A 16,655-nucleotide genomic window follows, 5' to 3' on the forward strand; every position below is an offset into this window, starting at 1 on the left:
AGTCATTAAAACCAATGGCCCACCAGTTAGGCTTGAGGTGGACTCGGGGCCTCTGTCACTTGCCAGACCTGTGCCCGTGGGCAACATACATAACCCCCTGGAGTTCCTGTCTCAGGTTCCGCCTCTGTAAACAGAAAAGAGCTGTGCCTTCCCCAGAGGTCTGTCATGATTATCGCATGGGATCCTGGTGAGGCTCTCATACCGTGCCCCGCACACACTGGCCACCGTTGCCCAAAAGCTGGACAGTGTGCTCACATCTGGGAGGGCCACCTGCCATTCCTTTCTCAGCATGTGTTGTCTTTCTTATCTCTACACTACACGCGACAGAATCACTTCCTGAAGTTCCAAAGGCATAAACAAATAAAATAATATGGAGGGTTTTGTTTTGTTTTGTTTTGTTTTGTTTTGTTTTGTTTTGAGACGGAGTCTCGCTCTGTTGCCCAGGCTGGAGTGCAGTGGCGCGATCTCGGCTCACTGCAAGCTCCGCCTCCCGGGTTCACGCCATTCTCCTGCCTCAGCCTCCCGAGTAGCTGGGACTACAGGCCTCCGCCACCACGCCCGGCTGATTTTTTTTTTGTATTTTTAGTAGAAACCGGGTTTCACCGTGTTGGCCAGGATGGTCTCGATCTCCTGATCTCATGATCTGTCCGCCTCGGCCTCCCAAAGTGCTGGGATGACAGGCGTGAGCCACCACGCCCGGCCTGGACAGTCTTAATTACAGCACAGAATTCACAGAATAATTTGGGTAGAGTCAATATTTTTTAAAAATAACTTGTAATCATTAAATTAGTTTTAAATGTTGAGTGCATTAATTTTTGAAAATAGCTACTCTGGAAGCTGAGGCAGGAGGATCCCTTGAGTCCAGGAGTTAGTTCGAGGACAGCCTGGGCAACTTAATGAGACCCTGTCTCAAAAAAAAAAAAAGAAAAGAATAGTAAGCCTTCCTACTGAGGAATGTGGAATCTCTTCCTATATTCAAATCTCTTACTTCCTCATGGTAAATTTCTGTAGACTTCTCCAAATATGTTCTAGAGTATTTTTGTTAAAATTTACTCTAAAGCATTTTTTTTTCCAGCTGTGGTGAATAGTATTGCTTTTTTGGTTCACCTAACGTTTGCTGACTGCATCGTGCCTGGTCACGTGAGGTGACACCTGAGAATAAGGTGGACAAGGTCCCACTTGAACCAGATACAGCTTAGTGGCTAAGGCCAGGATATAGGATTTCCACACCTTTACTCCCAGCTGCTAGTACTATCAGTTCTAACAGCCTTTTGGCTGGATTTAAAAATGTGTAATAGTATTGCCTACAAATAATTATTTCCTCTCCTTTCAGGCATTCATGCCTTTTTTTTAAAAAAAAAGAAACATCTGGATGGGCGCGGTGGCTCACACCTGTAATCCCAGCACTTTGGGAGGCTGAGGAGGGCGGATCATGAGGTCAGGAGATGGAGACAATCCTGGCTAACACAGTGAAACCCCATCTCTACTAAAAATACAAAAAATTAGCCGGGCGTGGTGGCGGGCACCTGTAGTCCCAGCTACTCAGAGGCTGAGGCAGGAGAATCACTTGAACCCAGGAGGCGGAGCTTGCAGTGAGCCGAGATCACACCACTGCACTCCAGTCTGGGCGACAGAGTGAGACAAAATAAATAAATAAATAAAAATAAAAAAAGAAACATCTATCATATTTCATTGAATATAAGTTACTATTGATCGTTAAGATCACAATTATTTGACAAACTTCTAAGAAATAAAAGCTTCAACAAATTCTAATGGTACTATGCCAAAATCTACAATTCTCCGTGTTTTAGAATCACTGAAATAATACCAGCGTCTCGTTGGTATTCTCGGCGTGTTCTAAGGGGCACCATTTGGGAAGCGCTGCCTTGACCTCAGCGTTAAGTATGATGCTGGCTGTGCGTTTAATCAGGCCTCGCCTCCCTGTCGCTCCCGTTTCCCAGGAGACCCGGCCTGGTGTCCTCCCTGCCTCACAGCACGGCCCTATTAGAGGCTGGTCGGGAAAGAGAAAACCCATCAAGAATGGAAACATAACAAAGGCCCAAGCCTTTGGGTCTTTGAAGAAGGTACCAGAGGTGATTACAGCAGTTTTCTACTTCAAATGGCAGGAAAGTGCTCTGGTTCTCTCTCTCCCTCTCTCTCTCTCTGTGTGTGTGTGAGTGTGTGTATAACTTTTTTTTTTTCTGAAATGAGTATAAAGCAGAATTTCTCAAATTTCAAAATCATTATTCAGTGGATTGATGAGAGCATGGACTTTAGAATCAATTGAAAAACTCCCTGTGTCTTGGCTCTGTCTTTCACAAATGGTCTCACCCCAGGCAAAGGCAGGGAGGGGCATGGGAGGGACTGAGGTCTAGACACAGTTGTCTCATCTAAAGGGGGCAGCCTTTGAGCAGATCCAGACACCTGCCACCTGAGAGAGGGCTGCACAGCATGCCCCGATCTGCTAGTTCTTCCAGAGAAGCTAGAGATTTCAGATTTCTCTGTGAAATCTCCAAATTTTACAACATTGGCAACTAACCCATTCATTTTGTGCAGGCTCGAAGCACTGTGCCCACCAGTGCATCTGGCCTTTGGCCACCAGGGCTGCCTACCACAGTCATGCAGGTGCTCCTAGGACAAGGACTCCAGGCCCAGGCCCAGGGATGGCTGAACTCTTCTTTGGCCCTGCGACTTGCTGAGCCACGATAGCTCACATGGAAGGATGAATAAGAACCGGCAGTGTTTAGACAGGCATTCTTTGATTATGTAATCCCAGGAAGCGAAGAGAAGAAGGCTCAGTTACCTTGCATCAGAAGCAAAGAAGAATTCCACGGCCTTGTCGCCCACAGCATGCAGGCAGGCGGAGCTGTCCAGCCTCTTCATCCGTGTCTTACAGATATTCTTCACATTCTCCAGAGTGCCTAGCAAATGGAGGAATGGGTTGCAAATCCCACTGGGATGTTTTGTTTGCATAATATGCAGCAAGGAACCAATTTCCCCTCTGAATATGTGTGGGAGAAATTTGCAATTTTTAGCTTTGGCTGTGTCAGCCAAATCGTGTAAAAGATCCCCCAATAGCACAGTACCACTGCAAAAGCATTTAAATGGCTACAGTGTGAGAGGAATGCAAACAAAAACAAACCAAAGAAGCACTCACATCAAAGCCCAGTTGCCGTTATACAATGGCACTTTTGTGTATGTTTGACAATATACAAAATCATGATAAATTCATGTCCATGATAAAAAGCTTAAAAAAAATGGAGCCAAGTCTCAGTTGCACAAAAACCTTTTAGACCTGGAGCTGTGCGCCTGTTGGGTCTGGCTCAGAGTGGGGTTTCCTTGCCTCAGAGGGGAGCTGACTGTGCCAGAGCAGCTGCCGAGTCCTGCGACACCAGCAGCTGTGCTGTTCCGGTACTTCTTGAGAAACTTACACGTCCTGTATAAGATAGGGATCTGTTCTGTGGAGAGCTTGTATTTGCTCCGGACTCCGATGAGCAGGGGGCTGCCTCTCCTGTAGGGAGAAAGAGGCATCCCATTACCCATTGCCTTTGACGCCCAGTGCTGGGTGTCTGCCCAGCATCTGAGGTAGGATCCCCAAATCTAGCCCTTTCCCAGTGGTGGAGGATCCTGTTTAGGTCCCACAGGACGGACGCCTGGAGCACAGGATGGAAAGGCCAGCTCCTGAGTCCCAGGTCCCTGACTTGGCATCACCCACCTGCCCAGAAAGCTTGGTAACCTGTCTCACTCCCACCCTCCTAGGCCGGGCCTCCTCCAGTCCAGTCAAGTCCCCACATGTGACCAACCCACAAGGTTAGATGGCGGAGGCTGAGCGTTTGGCAGCAGAGGAGGCGCTGGTGGGGCACAGGGGCACTCTAGGTCTCCACCCAGCCTCGACGGCAGCGCATCCCTATAACAATAGGGCTCTGCACCCACCATCTGCCCAAAGACCCCCTGTTGTTCCTTCCCTTCCCCTAGCCCAGTTCTCTAGCATTAGTGGGCACTAGTCTGACTGACTTTTGTATATTCTCTACTTTGTAGGTGACATAAGGTGATTTCTTGGGTGGTTTTTTGTCTCTGCCAAAGTGACACCCCGTGGATGGAAGTTTAGAATCTTCACCCCGCACCAGGTAGACTTCATCATAAAGAGGACAATAACTGTCACAGGCAAAATCTCAGGGAGTCTGCAGCTGGCCAAGGTGAGGGGCCCTCACTCAGGCCTCCTGTCCCAGCGTCACTGTCTCAGCCACTGCAGCCCGGCTCTCTGAGCACCTCAGCAGGGGATCTTTAGGAAAGAGCTTTAGGATATTTCCTCTGATTCACAACTTCTAGTGGTGGACGTGATGAAGATCTCATGATTTGGCTGGGCGCACAGTGGCTCACGCCTGTAATCCCAGCACTTTGCGGGGCTGAAGCGCGCAGATCACGAGATCAGGAGTTTGACACCAGCCTGGCCAACATGGCGGAACCCTGTCTCTACTAAAAATACAAAAATTAGCTGGGCATGGTGGGGGGTGCCTGTAATCCCAGCTACTCTGGAGGCTGAGACAAGAGAATCACTTGAACCCGGGAGGCGGAGGTTGCAATGAGCCGAGATCGTGCCACTGCACTCCAGCTTGGGCGACAAAGCGAGACTCCATCTCTAAATAAATAAATAAATAAATAAATAAAAGGATCTCATGATTTAAATGATATCCTGATTCCAAAATCTAATCCTTTGCTCATTCTTATAAATTATAGCATGCAAATAAAATCTACCATAGGTGTGCACAGAAATAAGAGGCTCACTCTGGTAACACATGCGCTCTAAACCTGCGGTTCTTCAAAACCAGGCAGGTAAAAGTGCAGTAGTTACGAAAGGATGTGTGCCTTTCCCCTCTACACATTAATTTATTAATAAGAAGAAAACACCGACGAACACTGTAATAAGACAATTTAAGAGAGCTGTTTCAAACACATGAATTGGAATACAATCCAGTAACATTTTACCTTAGGTGATTTCTTGCTAACTTAGATCAATGAACTAATGAAGTGCTTGCTCATCGGCTTGAATCCAGTCCACATATATCCATAATCTGTTAGCCTGACTCAATGCAGTTCCTAAATTTTTCTTCAACAATAACAGACCTTGTTTTCCAGTCACGTTGGCCTGTTTGGACCCCACTTATGGCTTCTCAAAGCGGGGGACAAAGTCTGGGGCTTTGAGGAAGGTGCTATGAACACCTTGAATATTTTAATCATTTATTGTGTAAAGCAAATCTGAGACATAGTTCTGGGGCCAGTGGGGAACTAGCATAAATAGTTTATAATAATGGCAGTGAGAAAGTAGGTGGATATCTAATTTTCTTGGCAAATGACTCCCCCAAATTTTATTGCTGTAGGTTGAGCTCTGTGGTTTCTCTAGACCTTGAGACATATAATTCTCCCAAGACAACCCGAAGATTGTACTGCAGGTTATAGAGCCCTCAGTTATAGGCAATTTAGAAAAATAAAGCTTTATTGCTTCTTCACGCTGCCTTCTTCTGAGTTCATTTAAAATAGTAAATCATGATAAAATTGGATTTTAAAAAGGGCTTCTAAATTTGATAGGAACCAACTGGTATTTTATAATTCTATGAATTGAAGGAATTAAATTCCAAATGGCAAATTAGTTCCAGTTTTAGAAAAGGTTAAAAAAAATGATGATAAATTCCTGTTGTTTCCTGCTGAGATACTACGCCAGTCTGGAAGAGACAGCCTCACCCTCTCCGGCCGTCTCCCAGGCCACAGGTTCATTCCAGATGGCTCCCCTGGGGCTTCAGATGAAGCCCGCAGCCCACAGGGCACTGAGGCCATTTAGAGCCGGCCTCTGTCCGCCTCTCCACTCCCCACAGCCTTTGAGGCCCTGGAGCAGTGTCCATACCACCTTGCTCACCACTGTCTCCCATGCCTGGCACACAGCAGGTGTCAGTAAACACACACTGGGCCTAGAACGCCTCCGTCCCACCAATGCCCTTGCACCATGCCCCCACCTTGCCAACGGGGATCCTGGGAGGTCCCACTCCCTCTGGGCCCCTTGCCTTTGCTCATGCTGGTTCCTCTTCCCACTGCCTGCCTGGGGCTACCTGCCATTGCCCCCCTGCCAGGTAAGGTGATATCCTGTGCTGGGGCCGGGCACAGGGCATCACTATCCTCTGCCCTTCTCTGCCCTCCTGTACAACTGTTCAGCCCTTCAAGGCAGGGACCAGGTCAGATGTCACTAAGTCCCCAGGGCCCAGCACACAGTAAGTGCACAGTAAATATTAGTTGCATGGTTGGATGGATGATCAACCTATGTGAATATAAACAGGATGGCACTTAACCTGCTTCTGTAAATCCATGCAGCACTGGGGGCCCACCGTAACAGAGGGACACATTGGGGCAAGCAGGCTCTCTGAGCCGATTCCTGGCATGCTCCTTTGTGAAGGTGAAGCTTGAGCCCCGGGCCTTCAAGGCCTCTGCTGTACTGGATCCAAATCAATATTCACTTTGCTCCCTAGTTTCATGTTCATAATTTTGCTTTTTCTTAAAGGGGGGCCCACATTGTACAGGCTTCAAGCCCCACAAAACCTGGATCTGCCCTGTCTGTACGATTTTATTTATAACTGGAATTTGTTGCCCACCTCTAAAAATCTGTGGAGATTTCAAACACAAATCCAACTTTCTGGTTTCTTTTTTTTTTTTTTTAATTCAGAAGTGTAGCACCACCAGCCATGGAGATGGTGGGGCGCGGTCCCCGGGGCTGAGCCACAGTTGTTCTTTAGACACCACGAGCACCTTTCAGCGTGCCACAGGCCCTACCTCTCCCGTCTCCCTCCAGCTAAGTGATTTTATTTTCGTTCTTTCTTATGGGAAATGCCAGTGTGTTTTGCCTCACCGTGTGGCAACGGCTTCTCCTGGGTAGTGGACACTCTTGAAAACCAGCGCGAATGCACCTTCCTGAAAACACACAAACAGTGAGGGTCAACGCGTTCCAGCAGCCGCTGCTGCAGCCTGGCCACAGCCCAGGTGCGTCTCCCTGGGCCCCTCCTGATGGCGGGAGGTCCTGGGGTCCCTCGGGGAGCTGAGTGCAGAACAGCGCATCCGGGGTGACATCACGAGGGAAAGCAAAACAGACGGTGCCACGGGAAGTACCACAAACCAGAACATGTGAATTCCACGGTGAGCGATGTGCGGCTTGCCCAGGCCCACAGGGAGCCCGGCAGGGGTGCCAGCTGGGTAGACGGGGCAGTGAGAGTCACAGGAAATGATAGCTGGGACCAGGCTTCCCTGCCCTGCTCAGGGACAGCACCTACTCAGCAAGCCCCTGTGAAGTGCACTTTAGCTCAACACACGGTAGGGCCTGGGTTCAAATCCTGGCTCCACCCCTGCACTGGGCTCTCCCTTTAGCCTTCTTGGCGCCTCGTTCTCCTCATCGGTGAAGGAAGTGAGAACAGCGCCACCTGGCGGGGCTTCCGTGACGATGATAAGCTAATGCACTGAGCCTGGCATCCGGAGACCCAAGAGAAGCACAGGTTGTCATGACCGTTACTGCTATTATCCTTTCCATGGATACGACTGCCACCTGCCCTCTGGGCCTCAGCTGGTTGGTTTGTGCAAAGCCAGAACTAGAATCCAGCTCTCCTAACACAAGAGGCCAGATGGTTTTTTGACTTAAATTCTTGGTGTAAATTCTTCCCCCACGTCCTGACCATCCTGTACTAACTTACCGCAACCCTAGCAGAGCTCAGTTATATATAACCAGCTGCAAATCTGAATTTCCACAAGAAATCCTCCAAGTGTGGAAGCCACGGGCAGCCCCAGGCCCCGGGTGGTCAGCGTGTCGGGTCCAGGTTGCCAACTCAGCTACAGGGCCAGGAACCTGAGTCACCGTCCCCAGGCCTCATTGGGGCTTTCAAACTGCCCCAAACCAGGGGGCTTCAGGCAGACCCTGGTGCTTTTGTCAACAATAAAATAGGACTGAATGGAAAAACACTGCACGTTCTCTGCCAAAAAGAGCCCGGTACTGTCCCAGGTAGGAAAAGTCTTAAGTTTAAAAGTGTCATTATGAGAGAGGTATTTCTGAAATTTCAAAATAAAAATGGAAAAGAAGAAACAGCATGCTGTAATACCTAATTGGCTCACTGTACCTTATCCAGCACATTAAATGTGGGATAGGCTGTTTTTTATAAACACGTCCTCTAAATGATGGACCTCCAAAAACGGGAGTTAGAGGACAAAAAGGCTTCAACAGTAGACTTACTTTTTAAATCAGACTCTGAAAACACCTGCTCAAGAATGATGTATTTTACACTACAGGATGGTGCCTGCCAGATGTTCTGGACTCTGGGCCAGTGTCCAGGCTGCCACAGCCCTGGGGGAGCTACTGGGTGGCACTGCTGTCTGACAGGATGGGCTCTGAGAGGCCCGGACCCCTCTCGTCCTCCCGCACCCTGCATGGGCCTGTGTCTGCTCCACCTCCTCCTCAGTGTAGGGGCCTCCCCTTGGACAATACGCCCAGTGTGTGCTCCCTTCTCAGGGACTTCTTCTCCCTGGGCCCTGTCCTCTGGGATGTCCCCAATCTCTCTCCCTCTCTCCCTCTTTTGGGCCATTCCGTTCCACATACAGACATGCTGTGATATCACCTATCACAAAAACAGGCCAGGCACAGTGGCTCACGCCTGTAAATCCCAGCATTTTGGGAGGCCAAGGCAGGTGGATCACTTAAAGTCAGGAGTTCGAGACCAGCCTGGTCAACATAGTGAAACCCTGTCTCTACTAAAAGTACAAAAATTAGCCAGGTGTGGTGGTGCGTGCCTGTAGTCTCAGCTAACTCAGGAGGCTGAGGCAGGAGGACTGCCTGAACCTGGGAGGTGGAGGTTGCAGTGAGCCAAGATCACACCACTGCACTCCAGCCTGTGCAACAGAGTGAGACTCTGTCTCAAAAAAGAAAAACCTAGAAACACATCCTCGCTTGGTACCACAACTCTCTCTGCACACCACCACCAAGCTCACGTGTGCATCATAAAAAGCCACGGACTCTAATGCCAGTCACAATTTCAGAAGTGTCACGATGAAGCAGGGCACTTTCTATTTGATGTTGACTACCCAAACCACAGAACGTCTTCCAGTTCTACAAGAGTGTAACATCTTAAGGCCAGGCTCTGCAGATGGGCTGTCTTTTATCCCCAGGACTCTGTGCAAGTTTGTCTAACAAGGGCTTATAAAAAATGAAGGATTCCTTGGCACTTGCTGCTTGAAAAAAATGTTTTTAATGAAAGAATGAAGGAATGAGTTAGACAGATGGGATTTGTAACTCACCAACTGCTGAATGACTCTCTCGACCAACGTTGAAAACGTAATGTCCTCAGTTTCTCTGTTGTCGAACACATATTTAATCAGCTTGGCGATGGTCTCTGTATCTGTTTCTGACTCAAACTCGTAGCCTTTGCTTTCCTGGAATATGCAGTCGGCACAGTGTGAGAGATTGGTCATTGCACAATGCCTGCCTGGCCAACTCCCTCTCCTCCCTGGTGATCTGCCCTTGGAGTGACTTAAGTCAAGAACAGGGAAAACCGGGAAGGGGGGAAAAATGTTTGCCAGCATCACAGCCAAATACCTCTGAGTCACTCCCGGAGGCCCTGAGATCATCCCACCTCAGAAGCTCACCCTTGCCACTAATCTGGACATTGCAAAATAACAGCAGTCAAAATGATAAAATACGTTGAGTCAAACCCACCCACATCCCAACTAACACCACAGAGCCTTTCAAACTTCAGACAGTCACTGTCTGACTTTCCGTCCCAACTCCGCCGGTATACGAGTCGCTGTGTTATATAATGCAGACAGTTTAATAAAACGAAGCTCCTGTTATTTTGATTCTGGGAATCTGCAGTGGCCCTTGAGATAAACACTAATGCCCTGTTATCTCCTCAAACGAGATCTGCAGGGCCTGGCTCAGCCAAGGCAGAGGTTTCTTCTCAACACGGTGACGTGGCTGAGTGTGGGTCTCACTCAGTTCCCACACTGGTTTCCGCAAGGAAATGAGCTGGCTGGAAAGTTTCTGGGGAGACCAATCCCACCGGACTGAGACATCACCTAGGGGAAGCATCTTACCAGAAATTTCCTCAGATCTTTGTAATTTGTGATGATCCCATTGTGGATGACAACAAATTCTGAAAGAAAAGTTAAGAGAGAAATGCTATTGAGAAGGAGGTTCATGTCAGATGTGAAGAGAGATGATTTCAAGGCTTGAGAACTCTCTGCAAACTCCAGGCCTCAAGACTTCTGTTAAGCACACTTTGTTTACAGTGATTAGCACAGATGTTTACGGCAGCAACTACAGTGGAACCAGGGATTAGCACCAGGGATGTCTAGGGCAGCGGCTACTACAATGGGATCCGGAGGAAATACACATCCCTCTTTCAGTGACCAGCAGCCACCAGCCTGACCGTGCAGAGAGCTCTCCCCTGTGCGCTATTATAGTATCAAACAGGCTTTGGGGTTCATGTCCCACGGGGATGATGAGCCCTTCGTTCCAGAAGTGATTCCAGGCACTCTCAACTGGCTTTAGGCACAAAGAGGTCGCAAAGAACAGTCCAGCACCGTGCTGTGTTTGACCCACACTGTGTTGTAAAAATATTTGAGTTTTTAAAATTCTGAGTGTTCACTTTAAAATCCTGGTTTCCTTGGGGGAAAAATCCCAGAAGTTCTGGCATCCCCAGGCTCAGCCACATTCCTGCACAGCAGGATCTGCCAGCTGCAGCTTTTCCCACCTCCCCAGTTCCTGCCGCACAACCCAGCTCACGCGGGCGGCTTCCTGCACAGGTAGCACCCCGCTGATCCTGGCGGGGAGGTGGCGGGGGGGCGGGGGGAGCAGGGGGATGCGGGGGATGCGGTGAGGGATGTCTGCCTCCACCCCACTGCATTTTCTCAATGAATAGCCCGCATATGAGTGCCTTGAGGGAAAGATCCAAGGCCAGCCTGAGAATTTTTCTGGGCAAGTAGCTCCGTTTCCCTCTCCCCCTAGAGGACAGAAAGATTCCCTATTACCCTTGAGGTTCAATAATTCCACCAGGAGGTGTCTAGATGTGGGATACGCTTCATAAATATTGACTATTTTTTTCAAAGCATCACTGTGAAGTCTTATTTGTTTTTATTATTACCATTATTATTTTGAGACAGAATCTCACTCTGTTGCCCAGGCTGGAGTGCAGTGGCGTGACCTTGGCTCACCACGACTGCTGCCTCCCGGGTTCAAGCGATTCTCCTGCCTCAGCCTCCCAAGTAGCTGGAATTGCAGGTGCTCGCCACCACACCCGGCTAATTTTTGTATTTTTTTAGTAGAGACAGGGTTTCACCATGTTAGCCAGGCTGGTCTCGAACTCCTGACCTCAGGCGATCCACCCACCTTGGCCTCCCAAAGTGCTGGGATTATAGGCTTGAGCCACTGTGCCTGGTCTATTGACTATTTTTGATCCCTTCTTTGGATATCCAACTCAAGTTTTCCTTCAGTTCGGGAAAGATTTCTCCCACAGCATCTTTTGAAATCTTTTCCATTATTCTTTTTCTTTATTCTCACCATGATTTCCTCTATTTAAAAAAATTGTAGTGTTTGTTTTTGTGAGGTCACACCCAAAAATGGGAGGGCTTAAATAAGAAAAGCCCAGTTTCAACAGATGTGCTGACCACAGCTCAGCTTTATTTTTTATGTATTTATTTATTTATTTTTTACTGCTCTGTGCTCTGATCGCTTCTTGTGCACACCAGTTACCCATATGTTGGATCCATATTAACTGGCTCCACGTCCATCCCCTTCTCCATTTTTTTATATCTATGGTGATATTGTTTCTTTTTCTTTCTTTTTTTTTTTCTGAGATGGAGTCTCACTCTGTCGCCCAGGCTGGAGTGCAGTGGCGCGAGCTCGGCTCACTGCAAGCTCCGCCTCCCAGGTTCACGCCATTCTCCTGCCTCCGCCTCCCGAGTAGCTGGGACCACAGGCACCCGCCACCATGCCTGGCTAATTTTTTGTATTTTTAGTAGAGATGGGGTTTCACCGTGTTAGCCAGGATGGTCTCGATCTCCCGACCTCATGGTCCGCCCGCCTCGGCCTCCCAAAGTGCTGGGATTACAGGCGTGAGCCACCATGCCTGGCCGGTGATATTGTTTCTTTACATTATTCTCTTAATTCTGCTACACTTTCTTTCATCTCAGTCTATGATCCTATCATTAATTTGTTTTCTGGAATCCATGTTGTCTCTGCAGAATCTTTGTGTAATTTCCTTGTGTGGTATAGTTGCTGGGCGTTCAGACTTCCTTAAAAGCATGCTCTTCAGCTATCACTGCTGAGTGTCAAAGAAATTTTATAAATCTTTGCTTATTGTCCTGTTGTTTTCTTTTCAATTACTCATCCTGAGTCAGGGCTGGAGTGTCCAAGTTTGGGTGTGGGTGGGCCTCCTGGGAGCCTCCCTGCTTTGGGGACACAATGAGAATCATCATCTACACTGAAGTGGGGGATTTTCCAATGAGGTTCATTTTATCACTGGGAAGGGCAGGAGGCTGTGGCTAAAGTGGCAACATCTCAGGGCACATGGTCTGGGCGCAGTGTTTTCTCGGCCAGCACGACTGCCCCAGGGACCAGCTTCTGCACTTGACCTGGGCTCTGGCCAGATGTACATTCTAGGTCCTCAGCACCATGGGGTCTGCTGTCCTCCTCCTGGACATAGGGTGTGTGCCTCAGTCACGAAATGCCCTATGGTTCAGGGCATGAGCCAGACCCAAGGAAGAGGCCCTCGCAAAAACCTCACTCCCTCAAGACCCTGATCACTAGGATGCATGAGTAGCCCTGGCTCCTGTGCTACCACCAAGCTGCTCTGCTGAGCAGGGTGGATGGGGCTCTCCTTCCGTTTTCTGGGGGACGCCTTCCCTTCCAAATTGGGCGGGGTGAGCTGGTGAGGCCCTGCAGAGTGCTCTGGGGAGAAGCAGCACCACTGCACTTTCTGTGGGTGGTGGGGGTGCCTGCCCATCCCGCCCAGTTACACTGCCTCGGAGAACCACTGATCAGCAGTGGGTGGGGGACACCAAGCAGGCTGGTGCTGCTCTCCTGTGGCCTGACTTCCACAAGGATTAACCGCAGTGGGACTTGTCAAGTGTCAAGGCTTAGTGCCTGCTAATAAGCTCCCAGTAACTGCTCTGATGTATTTGGTCCTATCTAACATTAGGCTTGGCACGAACTTACACTATGCCAGAGGATGTCTTGGGTTGGGGGGTCCAGTTGACTTCAGAAATCACTGTCTTTGCTGTACACCCTCCCCTGGCATGTCCAGGTTGGGGGCTTCAGGGGCTCGTGACTGGACCAGGCCTCACCTAGAGTGGGGGACCCCCTGGAAGGCCCAGCTTATGTCTTAGACTCCTGCCTGCCCTTGGAGGCCTGGGAGGAGACAGGGATTAGATCCTCTCTTCTGCTCCATGCCTACTGCATCCCACTGCAGGGGACCCGGCGCCCTGGGGCTGACCACAGACCCCTGAGAACTGCCACCAGGAGCTGCAGACCTACCAGTCTTTCCCCCATGAGAGGGGGCAAGGGTGTCATTTAAGAGAATCACGCGTGGAGAACTGTCCTGGCGACCCATGCAAGTGACACAGACCTGTGAGCTGGCCTGAGGGGGTGACTGGGCGAACAGGAGAGCCTGAAACCCACCAAGGACAGCAGGTGCAGCAACCTTGGCCCTCTGCCAATCTGTGGTGCTCCAACGTGCTGTCAGCTCAGTGTTTCCAGATCCTCCAGTTTTTCAAGTGATGCCAGAAGTCTGGACTTTTATGCACAGTGGTTCTCAACTTTTAAGAACATGAAGCAAGCTGAGTTGAGGGCTCTCCACCTGGGAAGAGCCCCTGGGCTTCGGGCTGCGGCCCCTACTTCTCCAAACCCTAAGCCCCTGGCTGCTGAGGTCTCCCGCTGGGGCCCACGGTGTGTCTGGTGGCACCAATCAAGACCAGTACAGCCCCTGCCCTCACCTGGACCACTCTGTGGGGAAAAGACAGGTTTAGCTGCATAAGGACAGAACCCATCCTTGCCTGAAGGGTACACCCTTCTGCAGCATTTCCGTCACTTGGGGAGGAACAGTGCCCAGGCCCCTCAGTCCCTCACGCGGCCTCATCCCACTCATGGGCTGGGTTCCAAGGAGCCAGCAGCTCTCCTGGTTAAGTGCCATCGTTTTCCTGTGCACTCCTGGGAGGCCAGCACCACCCTAGGACCAGGCTGCCTGCCTCCTGACTGAGGCCCAGGCCACTGGCAGAGCTCTGGGAGAGGGGACATCCGCATTCTCTTGGGAAGATGAAGTAGGCTGAGAAGTCAGTTAGAGGTGGGCGCGGAACCTGCTTTGGCGGGCACTGGCCCTGACACAGCTCAGGGTGAGGTGGAACCATGGGGACGGGGAAGCATGCCACATACCGTTGCCTTTGTCTGAGCGCTGAGGGTGGCTGTTGACAGCACTGGGGACCCCGTGGGTGGCCCAGCGCGTGTGGGCAATGCCGAAGTGTGTCTCAAACTCCACTTTTAAGTCCATGCTGTCTTGTTCTAAATGAAAGGAAAATCAGTTTGCCGCACTTGAACAACAAGCCTCGACCCAGGACTGTGAGTGCAACCTGGTGTCGTTACCCAAGTCACGTCACCCACACCGATGGCACCTCCCCACCAGCTCCCACCCTGGGAGTCCGCGCAGGCCCACAAACCACCCGTGCTGAAGGTTATTTACTACTTGTCTGTAGCTTAGCTCACTTCTTCACAGAAATAAACTTGCTTTAAAAAGAAAATGATATATCCCTACCATAAACAGAGAAGCAGTATCATTTGCTGGAATAATTAAAATAACTACTGTATGTAACCCTTCACACTTAAAAAAATTATCCATGCGCCGCCACCACCTAAAATAAACCATCCCATACCCTGCGAAGCCCGGTTTTACAGCACGGGCTTAGCCCTCCCTCTGTTTATCTGAGCTGGGACAAAGGAGAATCTCCATTCTCCGGCGCTGTTGGAATACGGTCCTAGAAAGCGGCCGGCGCTGCAGCGGCTCCTCCCACTCAGAGGTCCTCCACTTACTGTAAAGTTCTTCATCGAGAGCCTTGACTTTCCCCCTTTTCTTGACCAGCTGAATGTGTCTTTCTTTGACTTCGTGATTATTCCCATCGATCGCCACACCTGTGATGTAGACAGCATTTGTTATATTGCAACCAAAGCTTTTTCTCACACACTTGGCACAGGTGCTCCGCAGGGTCAGGGCTGCATGCCCCGGGCTGTCCGTTTATGGCAGGTTGGAGAGCTGTACAGTTTTCAGGAAATCTGCTCTGAAAGAGGCTGTGACTGCGGCCAGGCTTAACAGCAAGTGAGGAAGCCCCTGCCTCCTCCAGGCCGCAGCTGCCCCCAGCCCTGCTCCTGCCTAGCTAGGGTGAGCCCCTCGGGACACTTCCCCGCTGCAGGCGCTCCCAGGCCCTCGGCTGATGGCAATGGGCCCAGGCAGGGCATTTATCCCAAGGGCTCCTCGCATTGTGATATTTCGTTGGTATCTCCACTGCGTTAGTGTTCCTCCCGTCGTCTATCGGACGTGCTTCCTATTAAGAGTCGACAAGGATTTAAAACCATCGGGCTCCCCCTTTCTCCTCAGGCTGCATAATTAAACAAGGTCAACAGACTAAACATCCACCTTTGCAGTGAATGGAGGCCTGAACTCTGGGACAGCCACCCAGCGGAGCATTGTGTAGCCACTTAGAAAGCTACTTAGAAAGAGTTTAGGATCGGCCGGGTGCGGTGGCTCACGCCTGTAATCCCAGCACTTTGGGAGGCCAGGGCGGGTGGATCACAAGGTCAAGAGATTGAGACCATCCTGGTCAACACGGTGAAACCCCGTCTCTACTAAAAGTACAAAAATTAGCAGGGTGTGGTGGTGGGCGCCTGTAGTCCCAGCTACTCGGGAGGCTGAGGCAGAAGAATGGCGTGAACCCAGGAGGCGGAGCTTGCAGTGAGCTGAGATCGCGCCACTGCACTTCAGCCTGGGTGACAGAGCGAGACTCCATCTCGAAAAAAAAAAAAAAAGAATGAATGAGTTTAGGATCCTAGAAATGCCAAGTGAAAAGAGAAGAATATAAAATTACAAAATTGCATAATTATAATTAGGTAAAAACAAAAAATATCAACGTACAACACCTCCACCACAGACCACCCCCACAGACAACAGCGACCGGAGAAGGGTCCCAAAGACTGATGGGGGCTCCTTTTTTAATGAAGCCACCTCACTGAGGCAGGGCTGACAAACACAACGCTGCGCATACTTAATGTCTACAACTCGATGAGCTTGGAGGCACGTGTGCCCCCATGAAACCACCACTGCCGTCTATGCCATCAACCTATCACCTCCGAGAGTCTGCTCCTGCCCTCTTTATGTATTGTTCTGTGTGTGATAAGAGGACTTAGCATAAGCTCTACCCTCTTGGCTGGGCTCACTGGCTCACACCTACAATCTCAGTGCTTTGGGAGGCAAAGGCAGGAGGATCGCTTGGGGCTACGCCGGGCAGCACAGTGAGACCTCATCTCTACAAAAAATAAAAAATTAGCCGGGTGTGGTGGTGCACGCCTGTAGTCCCAGATGCTGAGGAGGCTGAGGGTC

General features: G+C 50.0%; 1 protein-coding gene across 1 annotated transcript in view, besides 7 other annotated features; it reads right to left on the reverse strand.

Annotated features, from left to right (window-relative positions):
• The window catches only part of GFPT2 (glutamine-fructose-6-phosphate transaminase 2), a 52,639-nt gene that overhangs the window by 20,687 nt on the left and 15,297 nt on the right, over positions 1 to 16,655 (reverse strand). Inside the window, exons 3-9 of the mRNA NM_005110.4 lie at positions 15,095 to 15,193; positions 14,444 to 14,569; positions 10,111 to 10,169; positions 9,316 to 9,450; positions 6,893 to 6,954; positions 3,432 to 3,511; positions 2,804 to 2,921 (exon numbers count right to left, since the gene is read on the reverse strand). Of these exons, the coding sequence (NP_005101.1) occupies positions 2,804 to 2,921; positions 3,432 to 3,511; positions 6,893 to 6,954; positions 9,316 to 9,450; positions 10,111 to 10,169; positions 14,444 to 14,569; positions 15,095 to 15,193 (679 nt within the window). The remainder of the gene's footprint in view (positions 1 to 2,803; positions 2,922 to 3,431; positions 3,512 to 6,892; positions 6,955 to 9,315; positions 9,451 to 10,110; positions 10,170 to 14,443; positions 14,570 to 15,094; positions 15,194 to 16,655) is intronic.
• Positions 1,745 to 2,430: an enhancer, noted in NCBI's record as "NANOG-H3K4me1 hESC enhancer chr5:179750129-179750814 (GRCh37/hg19 assembly coordinates)". NCBI's record gives its function as "activates a minimal SCP1, AML or CMV promoter by ChIP-STARR-seq in naive and primed H9 embryonic stem cells {active_cell/tissue: H9 hESC(naive and primed)}" and the evidence as "EXISTENCE:reporter gene assay evidence [ECO:0000049][PMID:30033119]".
• Positions 7,465 to 8,454: an enhancer, noted in NCBI's record as "H3K27ac-H3K4me1 hESC enhancer chr5:179755849-179756838 (GRCh37/hg19 assembly coordinates)". NCBI's record gives its function as "activates a minimal SCP1, AML or CMV promoter by ChIP-STARR-seq in naive H9 embryonic stem cells {active_cell/tissue: H9 hESC(naive)}" and the evidence as "EXISTENCE:reporter gene assay evidence [ECO:0000049][PMID:30033119]".
• Positions 8,455 to 9,442: an enhancer, noted in NCBI's record as "H3K27ac-H3K4me1 hESC enhancer chr5:179756839-179757826 (GRCh37/hg19 assembly coordinates)". NCBI's record gives its function as "activates a minimal SCP1, AML or CMV promoter by ChIP-STARR-seq in naive H9 embryonic stem cells {active_cell/tissue: H9 hESC(naive)}" and the evidence as "EXISTENCE:reporter gene assay evidence [ECO:0000049][PMID:30033119]".
• Positions 10,433 to 11,420: an enhancer, noted in NCBI's record as "OCT4-NANOG-H3K27ac hESC enhancer chr5:179758817-179759804 (GRCh37/hg19 assembly coordinates)". NCBI's record gives its function as "activates a minimal SCP1, AML or CMV promoter by ChIP-STARR-seq in primed H9 embryonic stem cells {active_cell/tissue: H9 hESC(primed)}" and the evidence as "EXISTENCE:reporter gene assay evidence [ECO:0000049][PMID:30033119]".
• Positions 12,409 to 13,396: an enhancer, noted in NCBI's record as "H3K27ac-H3K4me1 hESC enhancer chr5:179760793-179761780 (GRCh37/hg19 assembly coordinates)". NCBI's record gives its function as "activates a minimal SCP1, AML or CMV promoter by ChIP-STARR-seq in naive H9 embryonic stem cells {active_cell/tissue: H9 hESC(naive)}" and the evidence as "EXISTENCE:reporter gene assay evidence [ECO:0000049][PMID:30033119]".
• Positions 14,756 to 15,300: an enhancer, noted in NCBI's record as "H3K27ac-H3K4me1 hESC enhancer chr5:179763140-179763684 (GRCh37/hg19 assembly coordinates)". NCBI's record gives its function as "activates a minimal SCP1, AML or CMV promoter by ChIP-STARR-seq in primed H9 embryonic stem cells {active_cell/tissue: H9 hESC(primed)}" and the evidence as "EXISTENCE:reporter gene assay evidence [ECO:0000049][PMID:30033119]".
• Positions 15,301 to 15,844: an enhancer, noted in NCBI's record as "H3K27ac-H3K4me1 hESC enhancer chr5:179763685-179764228 (GRCh37/hg19 assembly coordinates)". NCBI's record gives its function as "activates a minimal SCP1, AML or CMV promoter by ChIP-STARR-seq in primed H9 embryonic stem cells {active_cell/tissue: H9 hESC(primed)}" and the evidence as "EXISTENCE:reporter gene assay evidence [ECO:0000049][PMID:30033119]".

The sequence above is a fragment of the Homo sapiens genome, chromosome 5 (genome assembly GCF_000001405.40).
Source record: "Homo sapiens chromosome 5, GRCh38.p14 Primary Assembly".
Lineage (NCBI taxonomy): Eukaryota > Metazoa > Chordata > Mammalia > Primates > Hominidae > Homo > Homo sapiens.